This window comes from Homo sapiens, chromosome 1, assembly GCF_000001405.40.
Source record: "Homo sapiens chromosome 1, GRCh38.p14 Primary Assembly".
NCBI lineage: Eukaryota > Metazoa > Chordata > Mammalia > Primates > Hominidae > Homo > Homo sapiens.
The window spans coordinates 156,212,891-156,240,269 of NC_000001.11; the positions used below are offsets into that span (position 1 = coordinate 156,212,891).

At 49.1% G+C, this 27,379-nt stretch overlaps 2 protein-coding genes across 14 annotated transcripts in view, besides 5 other annotated features; both read left to right on the forward strand.

The window, feature by feature from the left end:
* Window positions 98-27,379, forward strand: part of PMF1-BGLAP (PMF1-BGLAP readthrough) — a 30,345-nt gene continuing 3,063 nt past the window's right edge. The window contains exons 1-4 of one of the 4 annotated variants that reach the window (NM_001199662.1): window positions 98-286; window positions 19,430-19,535; window positions 20,738-20,838; window positions 23,398-23,593. In NM_001199662.1, coding sequence (NP_001186591.1) covers window positions 126-286; window positions 19,430-19,535; window positions 20,738-20,838; window positions 23,398-23,593 — 564 coding nt within the window. In that variant the 5' untranslated portion in view covers window positions 98-125. The remainder of the gene's footprint in view (window positions 287-19,429; window positions 19,536-20,737; window positions 20,839-23,397; window positions 23,594-27,379) is intronic. The other 3 variants (NM_001199661.1, NM_001199663.1, NM_001199664.1) reach the window with 3 other exon arrangements.
* Window positions 100-369: an enhancer, noted in NCBI's record as "active region_1854". NCBI's record gives its function as "activates an Ori minimal core promoter by ATAC-STARR-seq in GM12878 lymphoblastoid cells {active_cell/tissue: GM12878}" and the evidence as "EXISTENCE:reporter gene assay evidence [ECO:0000049][PMID:35858748]".
* On the forward strand, window positions 117-27,152 carry PMF1 (polyamine modulated factor 1). Of its 10 annotated transcripts, none has more exons than NM_001199654.2 (5): window positions 117-286; window positions 12,667-12,778; window positions 20,738-20,838; window positions 23,398-23,593; window positions 26,658-27,152. In NM_001199654.2, the coding sequence occupies exons 1-5, from the start codon at window positions 126-128 to the stop codon at window positions 26,709-26,711; spliced, it is 624 nt and encodes a 207-aa protein (NP_001186583.1). In that variant the 5' UTR covers window positions 117-125; the 3' UTR covers window positions 26,712-27,152. The 10 variants fall into 10 exon arrangements, with proteins under 10 accessions (NP_001186583.1, NP_001380839.1, NP_009152.2 ...); NM_001393910.1 differs by having other exon boundaries at window positions 23,459-23,593; NM_007221.4 differs by lacking the exon at window positions 12,667-12,778 and adding an exon at window positions 19,430-19,535.
* Window positions 450-499: an enhancer, noted in NCBI's record as "active region_1855". NCBI's record gives its function as "activates an Ori minimal core promoter by ATAC-STARR-seq in GM12878 lymphoblastoid cells {active_cell/tissue: GM12878}" and the evidence as "EXISTENCE:reporter gene assay evidence [ECO:0000049][PMID:35858748]".
* Window positions 580-629: an enhancer, noted in NCBI's record as "active region_1856". NCBI's record gives its function as "activates an Ori minimal core promoter by ATAC-STARR-seq in GM12878 lymphoblastoid cells {active_cell/tissue: GM12878}" and the evidence as "EXISTENCE:reporter gene assay evidence [ECO:0000049][PMID:35858748]".
* Window positions 6,915-6,974: a silencer, noted in NCBI's record as "silent region_1422". NCBI's record gives its function as "represses an Ori minimal core promoter by ATAC-STARR-seq in GM12878 lymphoblastoid cells {active_cell/tissue: GM12878}" and the evidence as "EXISTENCE:reporter gene assay evidence [ECO:0000049][PMID:35858748]".
* Window positions 13,427-13,486: an enhancer, noted in NCBI's record as "active region_1857". NCBI's record gives its function as "activates an Ori minimal core promoter by ATAC-STARR-seq in GM12878 lymphoblastoid cells {active_cell/tissue: GM12878}" and the evidence as "EXISTENCE:reporter gene assay evidence [ECO:0000049][PMID:35858748]".

A 27,379-nucleotide genomic window follows, 5' to 3' on the forward strand; every position in this document is an offset into this window, starting at 1 on the left:
CCGCCCTGCTCGGTGACAGACGTTCTACTGCTTCCAATCGGAGGCACCCTTCGCGGGAGCGGCCAATCGGGAGCTCCGGCAGGCGGGGAGGCCGGGCCAGTTAGATTTGGAGGTTCAACTTCAACATGGCCGAAGCAAGTAGCGCCAATCTAGGCAGCGGCTGTGAGGAAAAAAGGCATGAGGGGTCGTCTTCGGAATCTGTGCCACCCGGCACTACCATTTCGAGGGTGAAGCTCCTCGACACCATGGTGGACACTTTTCTTCAGAAGCTGGTCGCCGCCGGCAGGTAAAGTGGACGCAGCCGCGGTGGGAGTGTTTGTTGGCACCGAAGCTCAAATCCCGCGAGGTCAGGACGGCCGCAGGCTGGCGCGCGGTGACGTGGGTCCGCGTTGGGGGCGGGGCAGTCGGACGAGGCGACCCAGTCAAATCCTGAGCCTTAGGAGTCAGGGTATTCACGCACTGATAACCTGTAGCGGACCGGGATAGCTAGCTACTCCTTCCTACAGGAAGCCCCGTTTTCACTAAAATTTCAGGTGGTTGGGAGGAAAGATAGAGCCTTTGCAAATTAGAGCAGGGTTTTTTATTTTTTTATTATCTTTGAGATAGGGCCTTGCGTTGTCGCCCAGGCTGGAGTGCAGTGGCGTGATCACTGCAGACTCGACCTCCTGGGCTCAAGCGATCTTCCTGCCGCAGCTTCCCAAGTAGCCGGGACTACAGGCTCGTGCTCCCGCGCCCGGCTACAGATCAGGGTTTAAGTCGCGGCCCACCACTATGTGAGCAAGACGTAAGCCCCCTCTCCCTCGTCGGCTTCTTGTCAGTCAAGTGACAGCAATAGTACCTTTCTCATAGGGTCGTTTTGAGAATTAAATGAGTAAATACACCTAAGGCGCCTAGGACAGGACCTGACACATAGAAAGATTTGTTAGCTATTATGAGAATATCTTCTTCACTGGGAGATTGCCAGGACTAAATGTGTTACCATGAAAAGAAACATTTTTCCTGTCTCGACTTTTATTTTATTTATTTTTATTTTTATTTTTTGAGACGGAGTCTCGTCCTGTCGCCCAGGCTGGAGCAGTGGCGCGATCTTGGCTCATTGCAACCTCCGTCTCCCGGGTTCAAAGGATTCCCCTGCCTCAGCCTCCCAAGTAGCTGGGATTACAGGTGCACACTACCACACCCGGCTAATTTTTTGTATCTGTACTAGTAGAGACGAGGTTTCACCATGTTGGCCAGGCTGGTCTGGAACTCCTGACCTCGTGATCCACCCACCTCGGCCTCCCAAAGTACCAGGATTACAGGCGTGAGCCACCGCGCCCGGCCTTCACTTTTATATAATTTATATGACTCGAGAGTTTTGCCCATGATCCCACCACCCCAGCACATCAGTGTTGAAACGCTTCCAGGAGTTCGGTGCCCTGACCACAGCCTCTCCTTCTCTAGCCCTCTCTATCCCCACTTCCCTGTTCTTTGGCTTCATCAGGACTCTCATCTGTTCCCAGTCCATTCCTCCTGGGTTCAGCACTTTACCTTTCCTACGCATAATTAATGATTTGTCTTCACTCATGACTCATCAAATATTTGAGTGTCAGCTGGGGATACCATGAGGCAGACAAGGCCTCTTGTCTTTTTGGAGCTTGCATTCAATGCGTAGAGACGCCAACAACATCATCACATAGGCTGGTAAGATAGTAAGGCCATTATTATGTGTCAACAGTGACTCATGCCTGTAATCCCCGTGCTTTGGGAGGCTGAGGCAGGAGGATCATTTGAGCCTGGAAGTTTGAGGCTTCGGTGAGTTATAACAGCCCCATTGCACTCCAGCCTAGGTGACAGAGCAAGACCCTGCCTCTAAAAAAGAAAAAAAAAAAAGATAATGAACAGGTAATGATACCACTAGATAGGATGCTTGGGGCGCCCATTCTGAGATGGCATTTCAGCTGGAACTTGAAGGATGAGAAGGAACCAGATTATTATTATTATTATTATTATTATTTTTTTTTTTTAGGCAGTGTCTAGCTCTGTTGCCCAGGCTGGAGTGCAGTGGCTCGATCTCGGCTCACTGTAGTCTCCACCTGCCGGGTTCAAGTGATTCTCCTCCCTCAGCCTCCCGAGTAGTTGAGATTACAGGTGCCTGCTACCACGGCCAGCTAATTTTTGTATTTTTTAGTAGAGACAGGGTTTCACCATGTTGGCCAGGCTGGTCTCGAACTGAGCTCAAGCGATCCACTCACCTCTGCCTCCCAAAGTGCTGGGATTACAGGCATGAGCCACTGCACCCAGGCGGAACCACCTTTTTGAAGAATTACAGAACGAATGTATAGGAAAAGGGGACAGCCTGTGCAAAGTCCCTGAGGTGATCAGATATTCCAGGAACTGGCAGAGACCTTCTTGGCTACAGCATAGTGATCAGAGTAAAATGAGATGAGGCTGGAGAGGCAGGTAACAGCCTTATCATGCAGGGCCTAGTTTGCCATAATAATGAATTTGATAAAATAATTTGTAATCACTTTTATGAACCAATCATGGCACGTCATCATCATATGTCCTGGCACGGTCCCTCCCCTGTTGTATTTATTTTTCCCTACTCATTCTTGCCCTTGTCTCCCCTCCCATAGTCCCCACTTTCTCTTAGTTATATGTCCCCCCATTTATTTATTTATTTATTTATTTTTATTTCTTTTAGAGATGAGGTCTTGCTGTGTTGCCCAAGCTGATCTCAAGCTCTGAGGCTCAAGTGATCCTCCCACCTCAGCCTCCCAGAGTGCTAGGATTACAGGCATGAGCCACAGTGCCCGTCCCATTTATTTATTTATGAGACAGGGTCTTGCTCTGTTGCTCAGGTTGGAGTGTAATGGCACAATCTAGGCTCACTGCAACCCCTGCCTCTTGGGTTCAAGCGATTCTCCTGTCTCAGCCTCCCGAGTGGCTGGGATTACAGGCATGCACCACCATGCCCAGCTAATTTTCGTATTTTTAGTAGAGATGGGGTTTTGCCATGTTGGCCAGGCTGGTGTTGAACTCCTGACCTCAGGTGATCCGCCTGCCTCGGCCACTTATTTATAACACAAATATTTACTGACCATTGACAGTGTCAATAAATTTGTTCTAGTTCTAGTAGGGTTCTAGTTGCTGGAGATAAGGCAGTGATCAAGATGGACAAGGTTCCAATCTTCTTGGAGTAGACATTCTGGTACCATTAAAAAAAAATAAAATTGAGCCTGGCGCAGTGGCTCACACCTGTAATCCCAGCACTTTGAGAGGCAGAGGCGGGTGGATCACTTGAGGTCAGAAGTTCGAGACCAGCCTGGCCAATGTAGCGAAACCCCATCTCTACTACAAATATAAAAATTAGCCGGGCCTAGTGGCGCATGCCTGTAATCCCAGCTACTCGGGAGGCTGAAGCAGGAGAATCGCTTGAACCTGGGAAGCGGAGGTTTCAGTGAGCCAAGATCCCACCATTGCATTCTAGCCTGGGCAACAGAGTGAGACTCTATCTCAAAAAAATAAATAAAATAAAATAAAATCAGTGTAAAGGAATAGAGAGCAGCTGACACGCTGTCCTCTGGCGACCTGTCGCTGGAGAGGTTGGGACTCTGGATGCGTGCGGGGCTCTGGCCTACCGGTGACCCGGCTAGCCGGCCGTGCTCCTGCTTGAGCCGCCTGCTGGGGCCCGCGGGCCTGCTGATCTCTCGCGCGTCCGAGCGTCCCGACTCCCGGTGCCGGCCCGGGTCCGGGTCTCTGACCCACCCGGGGGCGGCGGGGAAGGCGGCGAGGGCTACCCTGCCCCCGTGCGCTCTCCGCTGCGGGCGCCCGGGGCGGCCGCGACAACCCCACCCCACTGGCTCCGTGCCGTGCGTGTCAGGCGTTCTCGTCTCCGCTGGGTTGTCCGCCGCCCCTTCCCCGGAGTGGGGAGTTGGCCAGGGCCGATCGACTCGCTGGCCGGCCGGCCCGCCTCCGCTCCCGGGGGGCTCTAATGTGGCACATATACACCATGGAATACTATGCAGCCATAAAAAATGATGAGTTAATGTCCTTTGTAGGGACATGGATGAAATTGGAAATCATCATTCTCAGTAAACTATCGCAAGAACAAAAAACCAAACACCGCATATTCTAACTCATAGGTGGGAATTGAACAATGAGATCACATGGACACATGAAGGGGAATATCACACTCTGGGGACTGTGGTGGGGTTGGGGGAGCGGGGAGGGATAGCATTGGGAGATATACCTAAGGCTAGATGACGAGTTAGTGGGTGCAGCGCACCAGCATGGCACATGTATACATATGTAAGTAACCTGCACAATGTGCACATGTACCCTAAAACTTAAAGTATAATAAAAAAAAAAAAGAAAAAAAAAAAAGGAATAGAGAGCAATGGGGAAGAGGGGTCAGGGTGAGGAGGAGGTTAAGGAAGTGGCATTTGACTGTATCCTTGTAAAATATGTTATATTTTTGTCTGTGTATGTTTTAAATTTATATGAATGATATTGTGCTACATATGCCATTTTTTACTCAACAACATTGTTTTCAAGATCTAACCATGTCAGGCCAGGTGTGGTGGCTTACGCTTGTAATCCCAGCACTTTGGGAGGCCGAGGTGGGTGGATCACTTGAGGTCAGGAATTTGAGACCAGCCTGGCCAACACGGTGAAACCCCGTCTCTACTAAAAATACAAAAATTAACCGGGTGTCATAATGCCCACCAGTAATCTCAGCTACTTGGGAGGCTGAGGCAGGAGAATCACTTGAACCCAGGAGGCGGGGAAGTTGCAGTGAGCTGAGATTGCGCCACTGCACTCCAGCCTGGGCAACAGAGCTAGTCTCCAACTCAAAAAAAAAAAAAAAACAAAACTAACCATGCTCTAAAAGTGCACATGCACATGGTTCATAGCTTCTTAGTGCTGCCTGTCAGTCCTTGATATGCATCCACCACTTACCCATTTCCTATCAGCTCCTCATCCATAAATTATTCCAGGGTGAATATCCTTGTACATTTCCACAGGAGCTAGTGCTAGAATTTCTCTGAGACATGTAACTGGGAGAGGGATCACTGGATCCTAGAGTTTACACCTACCTCTGTTCCATCAGATTACTTTCCAGAAAAGCTGTTCTTGTCTGCCACCTTCTCACCGTCACTGGGTTTTTTACCATTCTAATATTTGTCATTCTGCCAGGTGTGAAAGCGGTATCTTGTTTTAATCTGTGTGTCCCTGATTCCTGGCAGGTTTGGGCATTTCTTCATGTACTTAGTCATTTTGGCTTCCTCTTCTGAGAACTGCCTGCTCATTTCCTCCAGCCTTTCATTTTCAGAACTTTTTTAAAAATGGGTTTTTTATCTTGTTGATTTGCTAGAGTTGCTAGTATAGAAGGAAATATCTATTGGGTGATAACTTTGTTGATGATGTCCTTTGAGGAACAGAAGTCTTCAATTAAATAAAAAGCAGCACACATTTCAACTGTTTCCATTTTCCCTTAAGAGGATGACACAGAAGGGAAATGCAGTTATGCCTGCAGACCCTTCATGAACTGCATGGATCCTCCTGACTCCTTTTCTCAGCCTCTTGACTAACTCAAAGAGCCATTTAAAAAAATGCCAGATATAGGCCAGGCGCAGTGCTCATGCTTGTAATCACCAGCACTTTGGGAGGCTGAGGCGGGCAGATCACGAGGTCAAGAGATTGAGACCATCTTGGCCAACATGGTAAAACCCCATCTCTACTAAAAATACAAAAAAATTAGCCAGGCATGGTGGCGCGCACCTGTAGTCCCAGCTACTCGGGAGGCTGAGGCAGGAGAATTGCTTGAACCTGGGAGGCGGAGGTTGCAGTGAGCTGAGATTGCGCCACTGCATTCCAGCCTGGGTGACAGAGCGAGACTCCGTCTCAAAAACAAAAACAAAAACAAAAAAACAGATATTGCCTAATCCGTTTTTTTTTAATCCTAATTTTCATGTAATTACTTCCATTCATTTTTTTTCACCTTATGATTTGTGCTTTTGGGGTCTTGTTTATTTTTTTATTTTTTTTTAATTATTATTTTTTGAGACGGAGTCTCGGTCTGTCCCCCAGGCTGGAGTGCAGTGGCGTGATCTTGGCTCACTGCAGCCTCCTCCCAGGTTCAAGCAATTCTCATGCCTCAGCCTCCCAAGTAGCTGGGACTACAGGTGCACACCACCACACCTGGCTAATTTTTATATTTTTAGTAGAGACCGGGGTTTCACCATTTTGGCCAGGCTGGTCTCAAACTCCTGACCTCAGGTGATTCGCCCGCCTCAGCCTCCCAAAGTGCTGGGATTACAGGTGTGAGCCACCATGCACCAAAAAAGACCTTGGGGTCTTTTTTATAAAGGCTATGCCCACATCTAGGTCACAAAGATAATCTCCAGTGTTTTCTTCTCTTAGCTGTTTCATCGTTTTACTCTTTAAATCTTTAATCTGGCTGGATTAAGGTATAAAGTGATAGTCTCAAGCCAGGCTTATTTTTCTAACTTTCCCAAATACCATCAACTACACAGCTCATCTCCATTGCTTGATGGAGCCCCCTTACCAATGGCCAGCTCCTAGCCCACTATGTCCCTGAGTCTCTCTCCTGCCCCACCGATCTGCCTGTCTCTGCCAGTGCATGTGGGTTGTTAAAACCAGGCCCTTGTAGGAAACCTTATGTTTGGTCCAGCAAGTCCCATCTTTTCTCTTTATTTATTTATTTAGAGACAGGATTTTGCTCTGTTGCCCAGGCTGGAGTGCAGTGGCACAATCATGGCTCATTGTAGTCTCAACCTCCTGGGCTCAAGTGATCCTCCCATCATAGCCTCCCAAGTAGCTGGGACTACAGATGTGTACCACCACACTTGGCTAATTTTTTTTTCTCTTTGAGACAGGGTCATGCTCTGTCGCCCAGACCGGAGTGCAGTGGCATGATCACAGCTCACTGCAACCTCCGCCTCCCTGGCTTAGGTGATCCTTTCACCTCAGCCTCCCGAGTAGCTGGGACTACAGGCACACACTACCACACCCAGCTAATTTTTGTATTTTTTGTAGAAATGGGGTTTTGATATGTTGCCCATGCTGGTCTTTTTTTTTTTTTTGAGATGGAGTCTGGCTCTGTTGCCCAGGCTGGAGTGCAGTGGCGCTGTCTCCGCTCACTGCAAGCTCCACCTCCCGGGTTCACGCCATTCTCCTGCCTCAGCCTCCCGGGTAGCTGGGACTACAGGCACCCGCCACCACGCCCGGCTAATTTTTTTCTATTTTTAGCAGAGACGGGGTTTCACTGTGTTAGCCAGTATGGTCTCGATCTCCTGACCTTGTGATCCATCTGCCTCGGCCTCCCAAAGTGCTGGGATTACAGGCGTGAGCCACCATGCCCGGCCTGCCCATGCTGGTCTTGAACTCCTGGGCACAAGTGATCTTCCTGCCTCAGCGTCCTGAGTAGCTGCCTGAGACTACAGGCATGCACCACCTCACCTGGCCAATTTTTTAATATTTTTGTTTAGATTTTTTTGTAGAAATGGGGTCTTGCTACATTGCCCAGTCTGGTCTCCAACTTCTAGGATCAAGTGATCCTCCCGCCTCAGCCTCCTAAAGGGCCGGGATTACGGGTGTGAGCCACTGCACCCAGCCTGTCTCCAGTTTTTCCTCATCTTGGGGCATTCCGCCACCCTTCCTTTAAAACTACCCCGTTCAACGTAATTAATAACCTCTTTGTTGCTAAATACTTTGGAGATATATACATGTATGTGTGTGTGTGTGTGTTTGTGTGTATATATATTTTATTTTTTTTCAGACGGAGTTTCACTCTTGTTGCCCAGACTGGAGTGCAGTGGCGTGATCTCGGCTCATGGCAACCTCCACCTCCTGGGTTCAAGCAATTCTCCTCAGCCTCCTGAGTAGCCGGGATTATAGGTGCCGCCACCACGCCCAGCTAATTTTTGTATTTTTAGTAGAGATGGGGTTTCACCATGTTAGCCAGGCTGATCTCGAACTCCTAATGTCAGGTAATCCACCTGCCTCGGCCTCCCAAAGTGCTGGGATTACAGGCATGAGCCACCGCGCCCAGCTGGATATATATTTTTAAAATATTTAACGTACTTGCTTTCCTTGTAGGCTTTGACATTGTCAACCACTCCTCTGTTCTTCAGATTTCTCCCTTGGTTTCCGACGTCATTCTCTGCCCCTTTACCTGACTAGCTGCTCCTTCCCGGGGTCCTCTTCTCTTGTCCTTTAAACGTGTGAATGTTGCCCTCTCCTTACTTTCACCCCCTCCTCCCATCTGATGTCTTGCTGCTACTGAAAGCCTTCGGTGACTGTCCATTGCTCCTCACCAGGGCTTCTAGGCCCGGGCTACCTCTTGTGCCCTGCTGCACTCATACTCACTCATACTGACCTCCTCATTGCCTGGAACTTCAAGTGCTTTCCTGCCTTGGCATCTGCACTTGCTGTTTGCTCTGCCAAGAATGGTCTTCCTTCATCTCTTCCCTGACCCGCTCTAAGGCCACCTTGCTCCCCTGGTTATTTGTCATGATAGACACCGGTTATTTATTCCTTCATAGCACATATTGCAGTCTGCTGTTCTGTTGTCTGCTTGTTTACTTATTTGTGGTCAGTCTCCCCTACATAAAACCTAAGGTCCTTGAGGGCAGTATCTTGTCTGTCTTGTTCATCATTCTCTATTCTTCACTCATCACGGTGCCTGGTATACAGGAGGCATTCAGTACATAGTTTTAGATAAATGGGGATTCCCAAGCAATATCTCCCCTGAGTTTCAGACCTCTAACTCCAACAGTCTACTACTACAAATCTCCATTTGGTGTCCCACAGAATCATCAGCTCAGCATGGGAACAGGATTTCTCTTCCACCTCTTCCCTTCCTGTGATCCCTGAGTTGGTTGAAGGAATTACCACTATCCATTCTCTAGGCTAAAGATTTGAGAGTCCTCATTGGCCTGTCCATCCCTTTCACTTCCATTCAACTGCCCACCCCTGTTGGCTTCAGCCTCTCTCGCCTCCGACTCCTCCTTTCCATCCTTGCTGACACTGTCTGAGTTCAGGCCCTGACTGTCTCTCACTGTGACTCTTGCACCTGCCTCCAAACTGGCCCTCCAGCCTCAGTCTTGTGTCCTCCCACCAGTCTACAGCTCAGATTTGATCCCCTTCTCCTGCTTAAAATGTTTAATTGGTTCAGGGTTGCTTCCAGAATGAATGCAAGCTCCTTAGCACAGTGTACAAGGCCATTCCTTCCCATCTCACCAACCCCAAGTCAGGGCCGTGGGAGTACAGCGCATGCACACCTGAGTGCCAGTGCAGACCACACATGGGCACGGAAGCTCTTCTGCACCAAGTGCTGCCCCCCTGCCTTCACCCCTGCCACCTTGTCTTCCCACTGCTGCTTCTCCTCAGTAGAACATCCTTCTCCTCATTTGATTAAATAGGAACTTACTCTCAGCTGGTTTCCAGAGAAAGGGCTCAATAAGTGTCATATATGAATACATACTTTTTTTTTTCTTTTTGAGATGGAGTTTCGCTCTTGTTGCCCAGGCTGGAGTGCAATGGCACGATCTCAGCTTACCTCAACCCCCACCTCCCAGGTTCAAGCGATTCTGCCGCGTCAGCCTCCTGAGTAGCCAGGATTACAGGCATGAGCCACCACGCCCGGCTAATTTTGTATTTGTAGTAGAGATGGGGTTTCTCCATGTTGATCAGGCTGGTCTCAAACTCCTGACCTCAGGTGATCTGCCCGCCTCGGCCTCCCAAAGTTCTGGGACTACAGACATGAGCCACTGCTCCCAGCCGAATACAGACTTTTAAGTAGAGACGGGGTTTCACCATGTTGGCCAGGCTGGTCTCAAACTCCTAACCTCAGGTGATCCGCCCGCCTCAGCCTCCCAAAGTGCTGGGATTACAGGCGTGAGTGTATGGCGACAGTTCTTAAGTTCTTAGATGCCATACTTAGAGATGTCCTTGTGGTTCAGTCTTCTGGCCTGGGATATGCCGCACAGGGTAAGATGTGTAAAGTGACTTAAAGCCTACGTCTGGCAGTGACCAAGAAAAGAAAGCGAATTGCATTTGTAATGAACTAGTGCCAAAGACTGTTGGTGTTCATAGGAAATAGTTCATCACAGGAAAAAGAGTGGTTTAATATATAAACTATTCTGACTATAAATGCCCTGGAAATATCTCACCCTCTTTGAATATGCAGGTGATGCCTGCTATTGGTGGTGTTTTGTTTCTGAAGGGTGGGCATGAGTCATCAAACTGTGGTGTGTGGCTCCAGGCCTGGCATGCTCATACTTTCCCTCCGTATGTTTCCAGACCATCCACCTCTTTCTGTCCCCACTGTTTTTGCCTTGCTCCAGGCTGCTGTTGTCTCAGCTGTGCTTCCTGAAGCCACCCTCACATAGCAGCCAAGTGCATGTCCTAAGGTGTAGATCTGTTCATATCACATCTCTGCTTCAGTCCCTTTTCTAGCTCCTCCGGTCATGATACATCCACACTCCAGACTCTGTGTCTGGCCCTGCATGGAAGCCAACATGGCCAGATGGCCTGGATTGAGTCCCAGCTGGCTCCATCACATGCTGGTTGTGTGACCTTGGGCAAGCTTCTCTCTGCCTCAGCTTCCTCATCTGAAAAATGGGGGTGATGATAATAGAACCCCGCCTCACAGAATCATGGTAAGGATTCAGTGAGTTATGTAGAGTACATAGAACAGGGCCTGGCACTAATCAGTCCTCAGTTTCCTATTATTACTGCATCTTCACACACATGCACATATGTGCACGTGCACACACACACACACACACACACACCCGCCCTTCAGCTACACTGCCTGAACTTAGTCCATGCTGCTCTTCTCCTGTCCTGTGGCCAGCTCCTGCTTCTCTCTCTGACATTGCTTCCTCTAGGGAGCCTTCCCCGAGCCCCTGCTAAGGCCCCATGCTGTCTCATACCCATTTTCCCAAAGGTTGATCTGCAGTCCCTTTGACGGCAGGAATTGTACTGTTTCGTCTTTGGGTTTGTACCACCAAGCTTGGCCTGGTACCTGGTCGGTGCTCAGTAAGTATCTATTAAATGAATACAATTATCCTGCTGGCATTTTTTATCTTCATGCTAATATTTATCAAACCACAAAGTTTCTTCCATCTTTCTCAGGAAAAGTATCCCAATTTCAGATTTTTGAAGTTTTCCCAGCAGTTTTCAAAGGAAGAAGCTAAACAATAAAAGACTAAATTAGTCCAAGAGACCAAATAACCTAAAGATATAATTAGGATTAATTTTAAGTATTTATTTTTAATTGACACATTGTAATTGTACATATTTATAGGGTACATATCTATGTTGTATAATGATCCAATCAGGGTAATTAGCATGTCATCTCATAGATTTATCATTTCTTTGTGGTGAGAACCTTCAAAAGCATCTCTTCTAGCTATTTGGCAATCTGCAATATTTTACGGTTAACCACAGTCACTCTACTGTACAACACCAGAATCCTAATTGTACCTGTCGAAAGGCTAATTTTTAAAGGATAACCTTTTAATACAACGATTCATCTTGAATCACTGGCCTGGAGACTTTCCTCTTATTTTCATTAAGAAACATTTATCAGGCCGGGCGCAGTGGCTCACGCCTGTAATCCCAGCACTTTGGGAGGCTGAGGCGGGCGGATCATGAGGTCAGGAGACCGAGACCACGGTGAAACCCCGTCTCTACTAAAAATACAAACAATTAGCTGGGTGTGGTGACAGGGGCCTGTAGTCCCAGCTACTCGGGAGGCTGAGGCAGGAGAATGGTGTGAACCCCAGAGGCGGAGCTTGTAGTGAGCCGAGATCGCGCCACTGCACTCCAGCCTGGGCGACAGAGTGAGACTCCGTCTCAAAAAAAAAAAGAAAATAAAAAAGAAACATTTATCTCTTTCTTCTTTCCCTCTTTCCTCCTCTCCCTTTCTCAGTCCTGGGGCTTCCCAGTGTACACAGGACCAGAAAGTGGAGAGAGAAAAAGACCAAATGGAGAATTTTTTTTTTTTCCTTTTTGAGTCAGTCTTGCTCTGTTGCCCAGGCTGGAGGGCAGTGGCGCCATCTTGGCTCACTGCAACCTCCGCCTCCCGGGTTAAAGCGATTCTCCTGCCTCAGCCTCCCGAGTAGCTGGGATTACAGGCGCCTGCCACTGCGCCCTGCTAATTTTTGTATTTTTAGTAGAGAGGAGGTTTTGCCATATTGGCCAGGCTGGTCTCGAACTCCTGACCTCAGGTAATCCGCCCACCTCAGCCTCCCAAAGTACTGAGATTACAGGCATGAGCTACCATGCCCTGATGAGAAACATTTCTTAATGAAATGGACAGCCGTATAGTGAATAGGGGATGAAGAGCAAGAATTTCTGTCACTCCAGTCCTCAGCTTTTTTTTTTTTTTTTTTTTTTTTTTAATTTCAGTAGTTTTTTGGGGAACAGGTGGTGTTTGGTTACATGGATAAGTTCTTTAGCGGTGATTTCCGAGATTTTGGTGCACCCATCACCCGAGCAGTGTACACTATACCCAGTATGTAGTCTTTTATCCCTCACCCCCCTCCCACCCTTTCCCCACAGTTGGCAAAGTCCATTGTACCATTCTTCTGCCCTTTGCATCCCCAGCTTCTGTTTGTTTTGTTCTCAGCCTGTTTGTTTTGTTCTCAGCTCTCCACTCCTTCATTGGGACGGAAGTGCTGGTCCCCGCCTGCCCTCTGGTGGACAGTCTGTGAAACAGGCCTTCAGTTGGGCGGCGTGCAGGTTACCACAGGGGAGGAAGGCAAGTCCTGGCTCCTTTTTTGGCTCCCTTAGCACTGTGTACACCGTGATATTGTGTTACCCTCTTTTATCTTTCCATGCTGTCCTGCACAATTTATCTGCATATGTAAACCAACAGATTGACAAATGACCAGAGCCTGATTCTGTGCTTAAATATTTTGAAGTCAAATTTATTTAAATATTTTTATTTATTTGTTATTTTTTTGAGGTGAAGTCTCACTCTGTTGCCCAGGCTGGAGTGCAGTAGCACGATCTCTGCTCACTACAGCCTCCACCTCCCAGGTTCAAGCCATTCTTCTGCCTCAGCCTGCCAAGTAGCTGAGATTACAGGCATGTACCACCACACCTGGTTAATTTTTGTATTTTTAGTAGAGATGGGGTTTCACCATGTTGGCCAGGCTGGTCTCAAGCTCCTGACCTCAAGTGATCCCCCCACTTCGGCCTCCCAAAGCACTGGGATTACAGGTATGAGCCACTGTGCCTGGTTAATGTTTTTATTTTTATTTTAAAAATTTTTTTGTGAAGACAGGGTCTCACTATGTTGCCCAGGCTGATCTTGAACTCCTGGGCTAAGTGATCCTCCTGCGTTGGCCTCCCAAGAAAAAATAACAGGTTAAAATCAGTTAATATAGTCATCTCAGTTTTGAAACTCAGTAAATGTGGTTTTTAAAAGTTACTTTCATTTCTGATAAATTTAGCCTTTTTGAGGCCACAATTTGGCCTTTTCTCTCTAGTGGGGACAAATCCTGACAGCTGGTTCTTACCCCTGCTGGGTTGGTTTCTGCATGTGCAATTGCACACAAGCCTCATTCACTAGCACCTGCCTTCCACCCGGGAGGAGACTTCCCAGCTCTGGGGAGCCAAGTTACTGACTTCTGTACTTCAGAAGGGCAGTGAGGACTGTTATTTTGAGATTAGTAAGAATAATTGTAGCTCACATGAAGCATTTCAATGTGCTGGGCACCGTACTGAGGACTTTATATATTTTACCTCACTTAATCTGCACAGTAATTTTGTGAGGCCTAGATAGTTATTATCCCCATTTGACAGAGGAGGAAATTGAGGTTTATAGAGGTAAAGAAGTAGTCTGAGGTCACTAGTTGATGAGTGGTAGAGATAGGATTTGAATCCAGGGAAAATGACAGGTAGTCTGTCCAGAGAACCAGTAAAGTTACCCAGTATGCATTGGGTAGCTGGGTGACCTCTTATGTACCCTTGGAGGCCAGGGCCAAGAGACCATCCCGTCATGGGGTGAAGAGGGGCCTTGGCAGAGAGGTTGCAGAGGAGGCTCCTGGGGGAGGACTCCTCTTCCCAAGCTTTTCAGGTCCTGGGATCCTGGGGTCCAGGGTGGGCAGCCCAGGCCTTACCTTAGCCCCAGTCACCCAGTCTACAGAGCGTCTTACATGCTGCTGTGCATCTGACATGGTTGTGGGCACCCTGGAGATCCCAGCAGCATTGCAGACGGCATCCTTGTCCACAAGGATATTATAATTTGCGTAAAAAGATAAAATTTGACACTTGGGGCAAATGGTCATGAATTAAAAATTTTTTTTTGGCCAGGCTCAATGGCTCACGCCTGTAATCCCAGCACTTTGGAAGGCCGAGGTGGGTGGATCACCTGAGATTGGGAGTTCAAGACCAGCCTGGCCAACATGGTGAAACCCTGTCTTTACTAAAAATACAAAAATTAGCTGGGCGTGGTGGTAGGCACCTGTAATCCCAGCTACCTGGGAGGCTGAGGCATGAGAATTGCTTGAACCCAGGAGGCGGAGGTTGCAGTGAGCCAAGATTTAAAATTTCTTTTAATTTTTTAAAAAATTTATTTTATTTTATTTTATTTTTTTTTTGAGACAGAGTCTTGCTCTGTCGCCCAGGCTAGAGTATAGTGGTGCGATTTCAGCTCACCGCAATCTCCGCCTCCCGGGTTCAAGCGATTCTCATGCCTCAGCCTCCTGAGTAGCTGGGATTACAGGTGCCTACTACCATGCCTGGCTCATTTTTTATATTTTTAGTAGAGATGGGTTTTCTCCATTTTGGTCAGGCTGGTCTCGAACTCCCGACTTCAAGTGATCCCCCTGCCTTAGCCTCCCAAAGTGCTGGGATAACAGGTGTGAGCCACTGCGCCTGGCCTTAAATTTTTTTTTATTGAGACAGGTTCTTGCTGTGTTGCACAGGCTGGTCTCCAACTCCTGGGCTCAAGTGATCCTCCTGCCTCAGCCTCACAAAATGCTGGGATTACAGGCGTGAGCCACTGCACCTGACTATGATTTTTTTTTTTTTTTTTGAGACGGAGTTTCATTCTTGTTGCCCACACTGGGGTGCAATGGCATGATCTCAGCTCACTGCAACCTCCGCCTCCCGGGTTCAAGTGATTCTCCTGCCTCAGCCTCCGAAGTAGCTGGGATTACAGACATGCGCTACCACACCCAGCTAATTTTTGTATTTTTAGTAAAGATAGGGTTTCATCATGTTAGTCAGGCTGGTCTTGAACTCCTGACCTTAGGTGATCTGCTCCTGACCTCAGGTGATCTGCCCGCCTCGGCCTCCCAAAGTGCTGGGATTACAGGCGTGAGCCACCGCACCTGGCGATTTTTTTTTTTTTTTTTTTTTTTTTTTTTTTTAGTGTATCACTTTCCTGCTTCTCCCTGAGTATATTTTTCAGAAAATCCACAAGGGCATTCAAAACATTCCCAATTCTGCATTGGCTCTCAAGAAAGACATCACCTTCTTCCTGTACTCACTGACACTGGCACCAGTCTGGCTGCCTTTCTCCTTGGTTAAGCCACATTGTCCTGTTAGCATATATTTCATCTTGTGTCTGTGTATGAGTGTGTGTGTTTCTGTGGTCCTTCACTTTCACTGAATTATCATACCATAAAGGAGACCTCAGAACAGGTCACAGCCAGCGCTGGTGGTCAGAATTTGCTTCACCCCTGCCCTGGGCCCTATCCGCTGTCAGCTGCCTGAGCTGAAGAGAGATGCGTCCAGCTCAGACCCTCCGCCTGCTGAGTAGGCTGGGTGGAGGAACAGGATCTCCCATGTCTAAGCCAAACCTGTTTTAAGCCACAATTACCCAGTTTCAATTCCAGCCCTGCTTGGTCAGCATCATGTGTTCCTCCACGTTCCTCCTGGTAGCCACAGACTGCGTGGCTAGTCAGGCCAGCAGCAAAACAAGATATCTGGGAGTCTGCTGAGGGTTGAAGGAATGCCCATCGTCTATTCTGTGTACAGTATTGTTTTTATTTTTGTTTTGTTTTTTGAGACGGAGTCTTGCTGTGTCGCCCAGGCTGGAGTGCAGTGGCGTGATCTCAGCTCACTGCAACCTCCGCCTCCCAGGTTCAAGTGATTCTCCTGCCTCAGCCTCCTGAGTAGCTGGGACTACAGGCATGTGCCACCACGCCCAGCTAATTTTTTGTATTTTTAGTAGAGATGGGGTTTCACCATGTTAGCCAGGATGGTCTCCATCTCCTGACCTCATGATCCGCCCGCCTTGGCCTCCCAAAGTGCTAGGAATACAGGCGTGAGCCACCGCGCCTGGCCTACTGTATTGTTTTTTAGGTACCTAAGCTTAGCTTCCAAGGTGTACTCACATGGAATGTGTATCACTGAAAAGGTGAGAGACCGCCACTCTGACCCAGAAGTGTACTGGTAGTTGCTTACAACCAGCTCTCTGAAAAGAGAGCCCCGGTTTGCAGTGTTTGCCAATTTCCAAGGTGTAGATACTCCTAAGCTACCAACATGGCATCACTAGATACAGTGTTGAGAAGAGCTGGGCAGCAGCTACCTTGATCCAGTATTTCCACCAGACAGAGACAATATATACAAATTACCTCAAGAGCAGAGTAAAAGGTGGTAGAATGATTAGGAAGTGGTATGTTTGGAGTCTTTAGGACCTTTGTTTTGTTTTTGTTTTTTTTTTTGAGATGGAGTGTCGCTCTTGTTGCCCAGGCTGGAGTGCAATGGCGTGATCTCAGCTCACGGCAACCTCTGCTTCCCGGGTTCAAGCAATTCTCCTGCCTCAGCCTCCCGAGTAGCTGGGATTACAGGCGTGCATCACCACGCCCGGCTAATTTTTTGTATTTTTTAGTAGAGACGAGGTTTCTCCATGTTGGTCAGGCTGGTCCCGAACTCCCAACGTCAGGTGATCCACCGGTCTCTGCCTCCCAAAGTGCTGAGATTACAGGCATGAGCCACTGCGCCCAGGACCTTTGCTTTTAAAGTTAATTTATTGTCAGTTTATGTAATTTAATTCTTAATAATGGCTGTGTTTAACACTTGGCCCAGAGTTCCTGGAAATTTGGCAGTTCTCTCTTGCAGGCCACTGTGAGCTGGCTCCAGTATACCACTGCTCTTAGTCTTCACCTGTTTCCAAAAACATTGTTTGGGGGCGGGTTTCGTGAGGAGGCTTAAAGAGCCATGAGAAAGGGAGGACCCAGCAGTGACTCCCTGGCTAGGGGTGGGGCTTTGTGTTGGGCATCAGGGCCCTAATGCCCTGTTTACCCAGTGGCCCGCCAGCCTGATCCTCACAGCCAAGGAGCATCCTGACCTACAGTACAGCATCAGTGTGAGCTTTTGTGTATTTGAAGATCTTCCTTGGTTCAGGCGCTTTCTGCAAGTCACTCGAACACCGCTTCATCTGACCACACCCGCTCCCAATTTAAAGAAGATCGTTGATACACTGTTAGCCCTATAACTCTGGCCTTTTTCTTTTAAACCACTCTCTACAAGAGATGATTATCACTTGCATGTGAGTTTCTGCATTTCTGCCATCTCTCCTTCTCTACTGGAAGCTCTGGGAGGGCCGTGTCAGTCTTATCCACCTCGAATACCCAGTTCCTGGTGGGTGATCAGCATATAGCAGACACTCAGTGAATATTTGTTGAAGGGGAAGGGCCTGAGAGTGGACAGAGAGACACAGGCAAGGGAGAGGGAGGAAACAAAGGGGAGGGAGAAAAACAGCCAAAAGAGTTCATTTAACTTGAGTTTGTCTGTCCAAGAGGAATGAGCCATTGGGAATATACTGGATACCATTGAATACTTCCAGCTGCAAAGGATTTATCAGTGAGGAGCTCTCAGCTGCTAGTGGCAGAGACCTGATTTAAAATCAGGCTTGGCTGGGCATGATGGCTCACCCCTAGACTCCCAGCACTTTGGGAGGCTGAGGCAGGAGGATTGCTTGAGCCCAGGAGTTTTTTGAGACGAGTCTGGGCAATACAGTGAGACCGCGACTCTACAAAAAAATAAAAATAAAAGAATTAGCTGGTCATGGCAGGCACGGTGGCTCATGCCTGTAATGCCAGCACTTTGGGAGGCCGAGATGGGCGGATCACGAGGTCAGGAGATCAAGACCATCCTAGCTAACACGGTGAAACCCCCGTCTCTACTAAAAATACAGAAAAATTAGCTGGGCGTGGTGGTGGGCACCTGTAATCCCAGCTACTCAGGAGGCTGAGGCAGGAGAATGGTGTGAACGCGGGAGGCGGAGCTTGCAGTGAGCCGAGATCGCGCCACTGCACTCCAGCCTGGGCGACAGAGCAAGACTCCATCTCAAAAAAAAAAAAAAAAAAAAAAAAAAAGAATTAGCTGGTCATGATGGTGTGCACCTGTAGTCCTAGCTACTCAGGAGGCTGAGGCAAGAGGATCCCTTGAGCCCAGGAGTTGGAGTTGGAGGTTGCAGTGGGCTCTGATTGTGTCACTGCACTCCAGCCCAGGTGATGGAATGAGATCCTGTCTCAAAAAGAAAAGTAGAAAATCAGGCTTCAGGCTGGATTACACCTGTAATCCTAGCACTTTGGGAGGCTGAGGCGGGTGGATCACCTGAGGTTAGGAGTTCAAGACCAGCCTGGCCAACACGGTGAAACCCCATCTCTACTAAAAATACAAAAATTAGCCAGGCGTGGTGGCGGGTGCCTGTAATCCCAGCTACTTGGGAGGCTGAGGTAGGAGAATCGCTTGAACCCAGGAGGCAGAGGTTGCAATGAACCAAGATCACGCCACTGCACTCCAGCCGGGTGACAGAGCGAGACTGCCTCAAGAAAAAAAAAGGAAAGAAAATCAGGCTCCAACAATAAGAGAAATATATTACCTCATGTAACAAGAAGCCCCAAAGTAGAGTGGCTGCAGGTTGGTGTAAACTCTGCCCTCAGGCCAGGGCCCCCATGGTTGCCAAAGAGCATCACCTGGATATGGTAATGTCCTGCCGAGAGAGCATCAGTTGCTTTCTATGTGGCTCTTTTTAGGAGTAAGCCAATCTCTCCCAGATGTCACATGCCCTGTCCTAATCCAAGTCCCTCAGGGCACTGGAATGACCAGAGGCTCTCAAAGTGTGGTTCCCCAGACCAGCACCATCAGCCTAACCCGAGAGCTTGCTAGAAACTGTGGAAGGAGTGAGGAGTAATCTTCAAGAGATAAACACTTAAACTCACCTGGGGCTCTCCTAAGAAGGAGTGAGGATGCTGATGGGGCATTGATGGGGTTGAACCATCCTCGGTGACTCGTGCTTAGATGAGAGATTTGCATCCACTGGCTTTAACCAGGGCCATGAAGTGGACAGAGCTCAGAGTCCTGTAATGCGAAGCGGAGGTACCCAGGCAGGCTGATGGCCGGCCTCATGCTTGGCCCTCCCCACCTTTGCTTCTCTCCTTCCCGCCAGCTACCAGAGATTCACTGACTGCTATAAGTGCTTCTACCAGTTGCAGCCTGCGATGACACAGCAAATCTATGACAAGTTTATAGCTCAGTTGCAGACATCTATCCGGGTGAGTGGCGGGAAGCCTGGCAGGTGCTGTTGACTTGGGTTCTGTCTCCAGATTGTCAGTCCCCTGAGGGCAGTGGCCCCACCCTCTACACCTCTGTCTCCTCAGCCCCTAGAGCTGTCCTGGGTGCCCAGCAGGCTGCAGCATCCATCGTCACTCCCCTCCAAATGATGCGGGTATCTTAGATGCAGCCTTTGCTCACTGTCCTGTATTGTGATTATGTGTTTTATGTTGCCTGCTCTCTAGACCATGCAAACTCAGCAAAGGCTGATGGGGTCTTTTTTTTTTTTTAAGTCAGGATCTTGCTCTGTCACCCAGGCTTGAGTACAGCGGCATAATCACAGCTCCCTGCAGCCTCAAACTCTGGGCTCAAGCGATCCTCCCACCTTGGCTTCCCAAAGTGCTGGAATTACATGAACTACCAGCCTACAGGCTCTTTTTAAATATTTCCCACTTTAGGCCGGTACAGTGGCCTAAAATTTTAATTTTTTTCTTCCTTTTTTTTTTTTTTTTTTGAGACAGGGTCTGGCTCTGTCACTCAGGCTGGAGTGCAGTGGCGTGATCTCAGCTCACTGCAGCCTCTGCCTCCTAGGCTGAAGCAATCCTCCTACCTCAGATTCCAGAATCACTGGGACTGTAGACGTGCACCCCCACGCCTAGCTAAAAAGATTTTTTAAATAAAAATAAATAAATAAAACATTTTCCCCACTTTATATTTTATTTCCTTAATTATTTTTGTTTGCTTTTTTGAGGCAGAGTCTCATTCTGTTGCCCAGGCTATAGTGCAGTGGCGCAATCTCGGTTCACTACAACCTCCGCCTCCCAGGTTCAAGTGATTCTTGTGCCTCAGCCTCCCGAGTAGCTGGGATGACAGCTGAGTGCCACCACATCCAGCTAATTTTTTTTTTTTTTTTTAGTAGCGACAGGGTTTCACCGTGTTACCAGGCTGGTCTCGAACTCCTGGTCTCAAGTGATCCACCCACCTCGGCCCTCCCAAAGTGCTGGGATTACAGGCGTGAACCACGACGCCCAGCCTATTTTCTTAATTATAAAAGCCACATGTAGAAAAGTTGGAATGTCAGGGAAAGCATAAAGACCTAGAACAGAAATTAGCCAAAATCTTACCAAGTGCTGTCAGCAGTTTAGCATATTTTTGCCATGAGCTCATCTCGTGTCATTACAGCTCTTTCCTCCTTTCTCTTCAGGAGGAAATCTCTGACATCAAAGAGGAGGGGAACCTAGAAGCTGTCTTGAATGCCTTGGATAAAATTGTGGAAGAAGGCAAAGTCCGCAAAGAGCCAGCCTGGTGAGAGTGGGGTGGGGAGGTGAGAAGGTACAGGAAAGAGGCAGCAATTAAGCTTTTTTTTTTTTTTTCTAGAGTCAGGGTCTCACTATGTTGGCCAGGCTGGTCACAAACTCCTGGCCTTAAGCTGTCCTCCCACCTTGACCTCCCAAAGTGCTGGGATTACAAGCTTGAGCCACAATGCCTGGACAGTTCAGCTTCTTGAAGGAGACTTTAAGACTGACCCAAGCAGGGAGTGGTGACTCATGCCTGTAATCCCAGTTATTCAGGGGGCTGAGGTGGGAGGATCACTTGAGACCAGGAGTTCAAGAGTTCAGAACCAGCCTGGGCAATATAGTGAGACCCTGTCTCTAAAAAAAACTTTTAAAAGGCTGACCCTGTGTCCACCATATCCATGAGACTCTGGGCTTGTTGCCCCTGAGAGAGAACCTTTTGACAGGGACAAGTAGAGCAGACAGACACCAAACAGTAAGCGAAAACTGTTGTACCGCATAGTTCCCTTCAGGGGAGGAGAGCCCCAGGTAAGCCATGTTGTTGAGGGGATTAGGGAGGGAAGTAGTTTGAGGCCAGACTGAAGAAGCCTTCCTGAGGGAGCTCATTTTAGGGTCTGTTGGTCCTGTGGGAGAAAGGGTGGGTGGGGGGAGTGGGAGGAGGCAGAATCGTGAGGTTTGGAATCACCATGTACATCTTACAGGTGTAGATGAGGCTGGTGGGGCAACTGGTTTTTATACATTTGTTCATTCAACAGGTTAGGGAGCACCTACTATATGATCGATATTGTTTTTTTTTTCTATTTTTTTTAAGACAGAGTCTTGCTCTGTTGCCCAGGTTGGAGTACAGTGGTGTGATCTTGGCTCATTGCAACCTCCACCTCCTGAGTTCAAGCAATTCTCCTGCCTCAGCCTCTTGAGTAGCTGGAATTACAGGCCCCCACTACCATGCCTGGCTAATTTTTGTATTTTTAGTAGAGATGGGGTTTCACCATGTTGGCCAGGCTGATCTCGAACTCCTGACCTCAGGTGATCCTCCTGCCTCGGCCTCCCAAAGTGCTGGGATTAAAGGTGTGAGCCCTCGCGCCCAGCCTCGATACTGTTTTAGATGCCAGAAACTTAGCAGTGAACAAGACAGACCAAATACCTGCTCTCCTGGAGCTGACATTTCAGCAGCAGCCGGCTACCTGGTACACCAAGTGCAAGGTGGAGAAGTGGGGCCTGGGATGAGCCGTGGAGAGCAGGGGCCAGCAAGACCCCAGCAGCTGAGCCCCTGCCTCCTGCAACCCTCCCTCCCTTAGAATCCTAGGCCAGAGGGAGTAGAAATCTTTTTTGTAATTTCCAATTTTTAAAAATGCTCTGTGACCTTAATACTTAAGAGAATTAAGTTTCACAACTGAAAAAGAATTTTTTTTTTTTTTTGAGATGGAGTCTCACTCATTTGTCCAGGCCAGGCTAGAGTACAGTGGTGCGATCTCAGCTCACTGCAACCTCAGCCTCCCGGGTCCAAGCGATTCTCCTGCCTCAGCCTCCCGAGTAGCTGGGATTACAGCGCCCGCCACCACACCTGGCTAATTTTTGTATTTTTAGTAGAGATGGGGTTTCACCATGTTGGCCAGGCTGGTCCCAAACACCGGACCTCAGGTGATCCACCTGCCTTGGCCTCCCAAAGTGCTGAGATTACAGGCATGAGCCACCGCGCTCAGCCATTGAAAAATAATTTTTTTTTTTTTTTTTTTTTTTTGAGACAGAGTCTCGCTCTGTCTCTCAGGCTGGAGTGCAGTGGCGCGATCTTGGCTCACTGCAAGCTCCGCCTCCTGGGTTCACGCCATTCTCCTGCCTCAGCCTCCCAAGTAGCTGGGACTACAGGCACCCAACACCATGCCCGGCTAATTTTTTGTATTTCTAGTAGAGATGGGGTTTCACCATGTTAGCCAGGATGCTCTCGATCTCCTGACCTCGTGATCTGCCTGCCTTGGCCTCCCAAAGTGCTGGGATTACAGGCGTGAGCCACCACACCTGGCCTGAAAAAGAATTTTTAAAGAACTCACAGTGCTTTCCACCTCTTGTGTAATCTTGCCTCCTCAGACTTGACTTTCCTTATCTTCCCAGATCAGCCAACACTTATGGGGGCCTCCCACAGTCTGGGCCCTCTGTCAGGAGCCACCCCCAACCTCTCAAGCTCACAGTCTGGTGGACTGGATGCACCAGCCGGGCACATGGTCACAAGGACAGAGGCAGGGGCTACAAAGTCACCCTGAAGTGTTCTGGATAGGGGAGTGTGTGTGGAGGAAAGGAGGGGAATGTGGGGTATGGTCGGGAAGGCTAAGATAGGGGCTGAAGTGAGAAGGGGGAGAGGTGGACCCCTAAGCATTGAAACCCAGGGAAAGGAAGTGTGCATTCCTACGAGGAACAGGTCTTGGGAGGTGAGAGGGACCACAGGAGAGACCTGGGAAGCCAGCCCAACTTGGGACAAGGTGGGCATGTCACCGAGTGTGGGCTTGGAAGCTGAACCTTCTTCCACAAGGGCCTTCCGCCTCCTTCATTCCTTGTGCCCCGTGTGGCCCTCCAGGCGCCCCAGCGGGATCCCAGAGAAGGATCTGCACAGTGTTATGGCACCCTACTTCCTGCAGCAACGGGACACCCTGCGGCGCCATGTGCAGAAACAGGAGGCCGAGAACCAGCAGCTGGCAGATGCCGTCCTGGCAGGGCGGAGGCAGGTGGAGGAGCTGCAGCTACAGGTCCAGGCCCAGCAGCAGGCCTGGCAGGTCAGTGTCCCAGCCTGCCTCTTCCTCTTCCTTCTCTAATGGGCCCTCTGAGATCCGCAAATTGGTGGCTTCCTCCATTCCAACACAGGGGACCCCCACAGGGGGTAGGAGAGCTTGCCCCCTGGGGAACAGTCATGAATTACCTCTCCTTGGGCGTGTGCAGTAGCCTCTGCCAGCCTCAGCAGACAGTCTCCCCCAGATCCTCCACCAGGCACAGGCATGTGTTCCCCTGATGGAGCAGGTGAGGACCCAGGCCCAGAGAGGGCAGGTGAGTCACCCAAGGTAACAGCGCCTCCACATCAGATTTGGAGTTAAAACCTGGTGCTGGTTCTACTGCTCCATGTGACCACTGCCCAACATAGATATATATATTCTAAACCCGGTATATGGTAGGGGGATGGGAAGAGAACAAGAACAGAGGATGAGACAGTATTTTTTAAAATTGATACATCATATTTTACATATTTAGGAAGTACATGTGATATTTTGCTACATGCATAGAACGTGCAGTGATCAAGTCAGGGTATTTGAGGTGTTCATCACTTTGAGTATTTATCATTTCTATGTGTTGGGAGCAATTCAAGACCTCTCTTCTAACTACTTTGGTTTTGGTTTTGTTCTGAGATGGGGGTCTCGCTATACTGCCCAGGCCAGTCTCGAACTCCTGGCCTCAAGCAGTCTTCCTGTCTCAGCCTCCTGAATAGCTGGGATTACATGTGCTCATCACTGCACAAGGCTCTTCTTAGCCACTTTGCAATATGGAGTACATTGTTGTTAACTATAGTTGCCTTACACTACTGTTGAACAGAATTTACACCTTTTACCTAACTGTATGTTTATGCCATTAAACTACCTCTCTTCATCCTCCACCCTTTCCCCCAGCCTCTGTTAACTATCATTCTACTCTTTACCTTTATGAGATCAACTTTTCTCTGCATCCTCACCAGCATGTTATTTTTTGTCTTTTTTTTTTTTTTTTTTTAGACAGAGTCTCACTCTGTTGCCCAGGCTGGAGTGCAGTGGCACGATCTCAGCTCACTGCAACCTCCACTTCCCAGGTTCAAGCCATTCTCATGCCTCAGCCTCCTGAGTAGCTGGGATTCCAGGCATGAGCTGCCACACCCAGCTAAATTTTGTATTTTTAATAGAGATGGGGTTTCACCATGTTGGCCAGGCTGGTCTCAAACTCCTGGGCTCAAGCAATTCACCCACCTCAGCCTCACAACGTGCTGGGATTACAGACTTGAGCCACCACACCTGGCCCCAGAAATGTTCTATTTCAACTTTGTTTTTGAGACAGTCTTGCTCTGTTGCCCAGGCTGGAGTGCAGTGACATGATCTTGGTTCACTGCAACCTCCGCTTCCTGGGTTCAAGTGATTCTCCTGCTTCAGCCTCAGCCTCAGTCTCCCGAGTAGCTGGGATTACAGGTACCTGCTGTGACGCCTGGTTAATTTTGTATTTTTAGTAGAGACGGGGTTTCACCATGTTGGCCAGGCTGGTCTTGAACTCCTGGCCCCAGGTGATCCACCTGCCACAGCTTCCCAAAGTGCTGAGATTACCCACTGTTTGTTCTTGACACCTTTGCCGACAATCAGTTGGCCATAAGTATATGGATTTATTTCTGAGTCTGTATTCTGTTATACTATTGGTTATGTGTCTGTTCTTATAACAGTACCATGCTGTTTTGGTTACTAGAGCCTTGTACAATTTGAAGTCAGGTACTGTGATGCCTCCAGCTTTGTTCTTTGTGCTCAGGATTATTTTGACTATCTGCCATTGCCCAATATTTAAATAACGTGTATATTAGAATGACTTGTAGAGCCTTCACACATCTAACACATATCCTCCATGCCACAATTGTGTGTCCTTTGAGGGCGAACTTAACTTTTGAAAGTGGCCCGACATCACTTGGGGCCACATTGGGTGAAGAAAGGAGAAGATGATGATCAAGCTGAATGACACAGTAGCAGCTTGGCTGCACCACAATGAGACAGATTTTCCTATGGGCTCAAAGTGCATTTCCAAGAGAAGCTTTCTAGTAGGGCTCAAGTGGCGGCATCTCTGTCGAACTCTCTCCATCCTTCATGTCAGTATCCAATGTACATCTACTTATAGCCACTTGACAGCCCCCTTCCTGGGGCAAACACTCATATTCCTGAGGGATACAGGTCCCCAAATTTATGGCTCCTGGATCTCCCTGGTCTTCTCTTCCCAATACCAGTTAGCTGTAGCCTGAAGGCCCTGCTGCAGCTTGGGAAGGGCCCCGGCTGGGAGGCAGTGACAAGTGGAAGGCCGGCAGCCGCTCTGCTCCCTACTGTCCCCACTCCCTCTGCTCTCCCCACATCACAGACTGGCCTGGGGGACTGGGCAGCAGGCGCGAAAGTGGTGGTGACAAAGGCCCCCCCCCCAAGCCTGGTGCCATCTTGCAGGGCACAGCTCCGAGTTGTGTCTTGGGCACTCCCAGGGCCCCCTGCTGAGTCCTCAGGCAAGGCGCTGCTCCACTATCGCCACTCAGTCACCATGAGGCCATGGGTCACTCCTGTCTCTGGGTCCTGGCTTCCAAATTGGCTAGATAATGATCCCAGGGCCTCACCAGCTCTGAGATTCAGTGCTATCCTAAGAGGAACAAAGCCCCCTGCTCTTAAAGCCATGCCCCACCCATTCCAGCTACAGACCCTCACGTTGTTTGACATGGGCAATTTCCATGTCTGTAACTCAACTGAAAGTGTACTTAATTCAAGAAAGTTTCTCGCTAGAAAGCTCTGTTGAGGTCAGAGGATTGAAGGGCCACTTTGGGGACCCTTGCTGAAGATGATGGGCTCTGCTCTGGGGATGCCCAGCCTAGGTGGTCACAGAACCCAGCTTGCTATAAATACTTGCCGAATGGTGGGGACTTCCTGATGTGCCTTCATCCTAACATGCTCTGCAGGGCCCATGACTTAGCCACAGACTCCATCCATATTGTCCTGGGGGAAACCCCAGGCCTGGAGTCAGGGACAGTGGAGGGCAAGGATTTGGGTTTTCTTAGATCCCAGTTTGTCTGTTGTCTCCCATTGATTTCAGGCTCTACACAGAGAACAGAGGGAGCTGGTTGCTGTGCTGAGGGAGCCTGAGTGAGGAGACCGCCAGCCCCAGAAGCAGAGGGCAGTCAAGGTCAAGAGCCTGTGGTCCAGCATGCCTGGCCTGGGCGGGCTACCTCTGAGAACGGCTGAAATGGTGCCCAGTCCATCAGCAGTGATGGAATTTGCTGGAGGACTAGGCCAGAGCAAGCCTCACTGCCACTGTGCCTTTGGGGCACCCTTGGGGTTGGACATACACCCCCTTTAGATTCCTCTGTTTCTTCTACCTGGATAATTCTTGGCCATGTTCTCTCTTCTCTAGGTTCAGGTCAGCTCTGCCCCTCCGCCCCCCTCCTGCTGGTTCCCCAGCCCTTTTCCCTGGCCCTGGCTTGGAGAATCTGTTTTCAATCTCCACTGATTGCCCCCTTGCTGGCCAGCCCAGGGGCCTTTACCATGTTCTCTCCACATCCGTAAATAAACTTCCTTCACTACACTGTAATCTGTGAGCATGCTTCCTCTGCCCTGGCCTCTCTTGGGCCAAGACCTGCTCCTGGGCTCCCAAATGCTGGCTCCAGTCAAGGCTTCAGTCGTGGTCCTCTGGGAGCATCCAGGCTGGGGTGGTTTGGCAAGGGGCTTACTAGACCATCATGTGCAGAGAGCAGCAGAGCCCCTTGTACAAAAACCAGGACCCCTGGGTTCCCTGTGGATAGGATGAGCTGCCAAGGA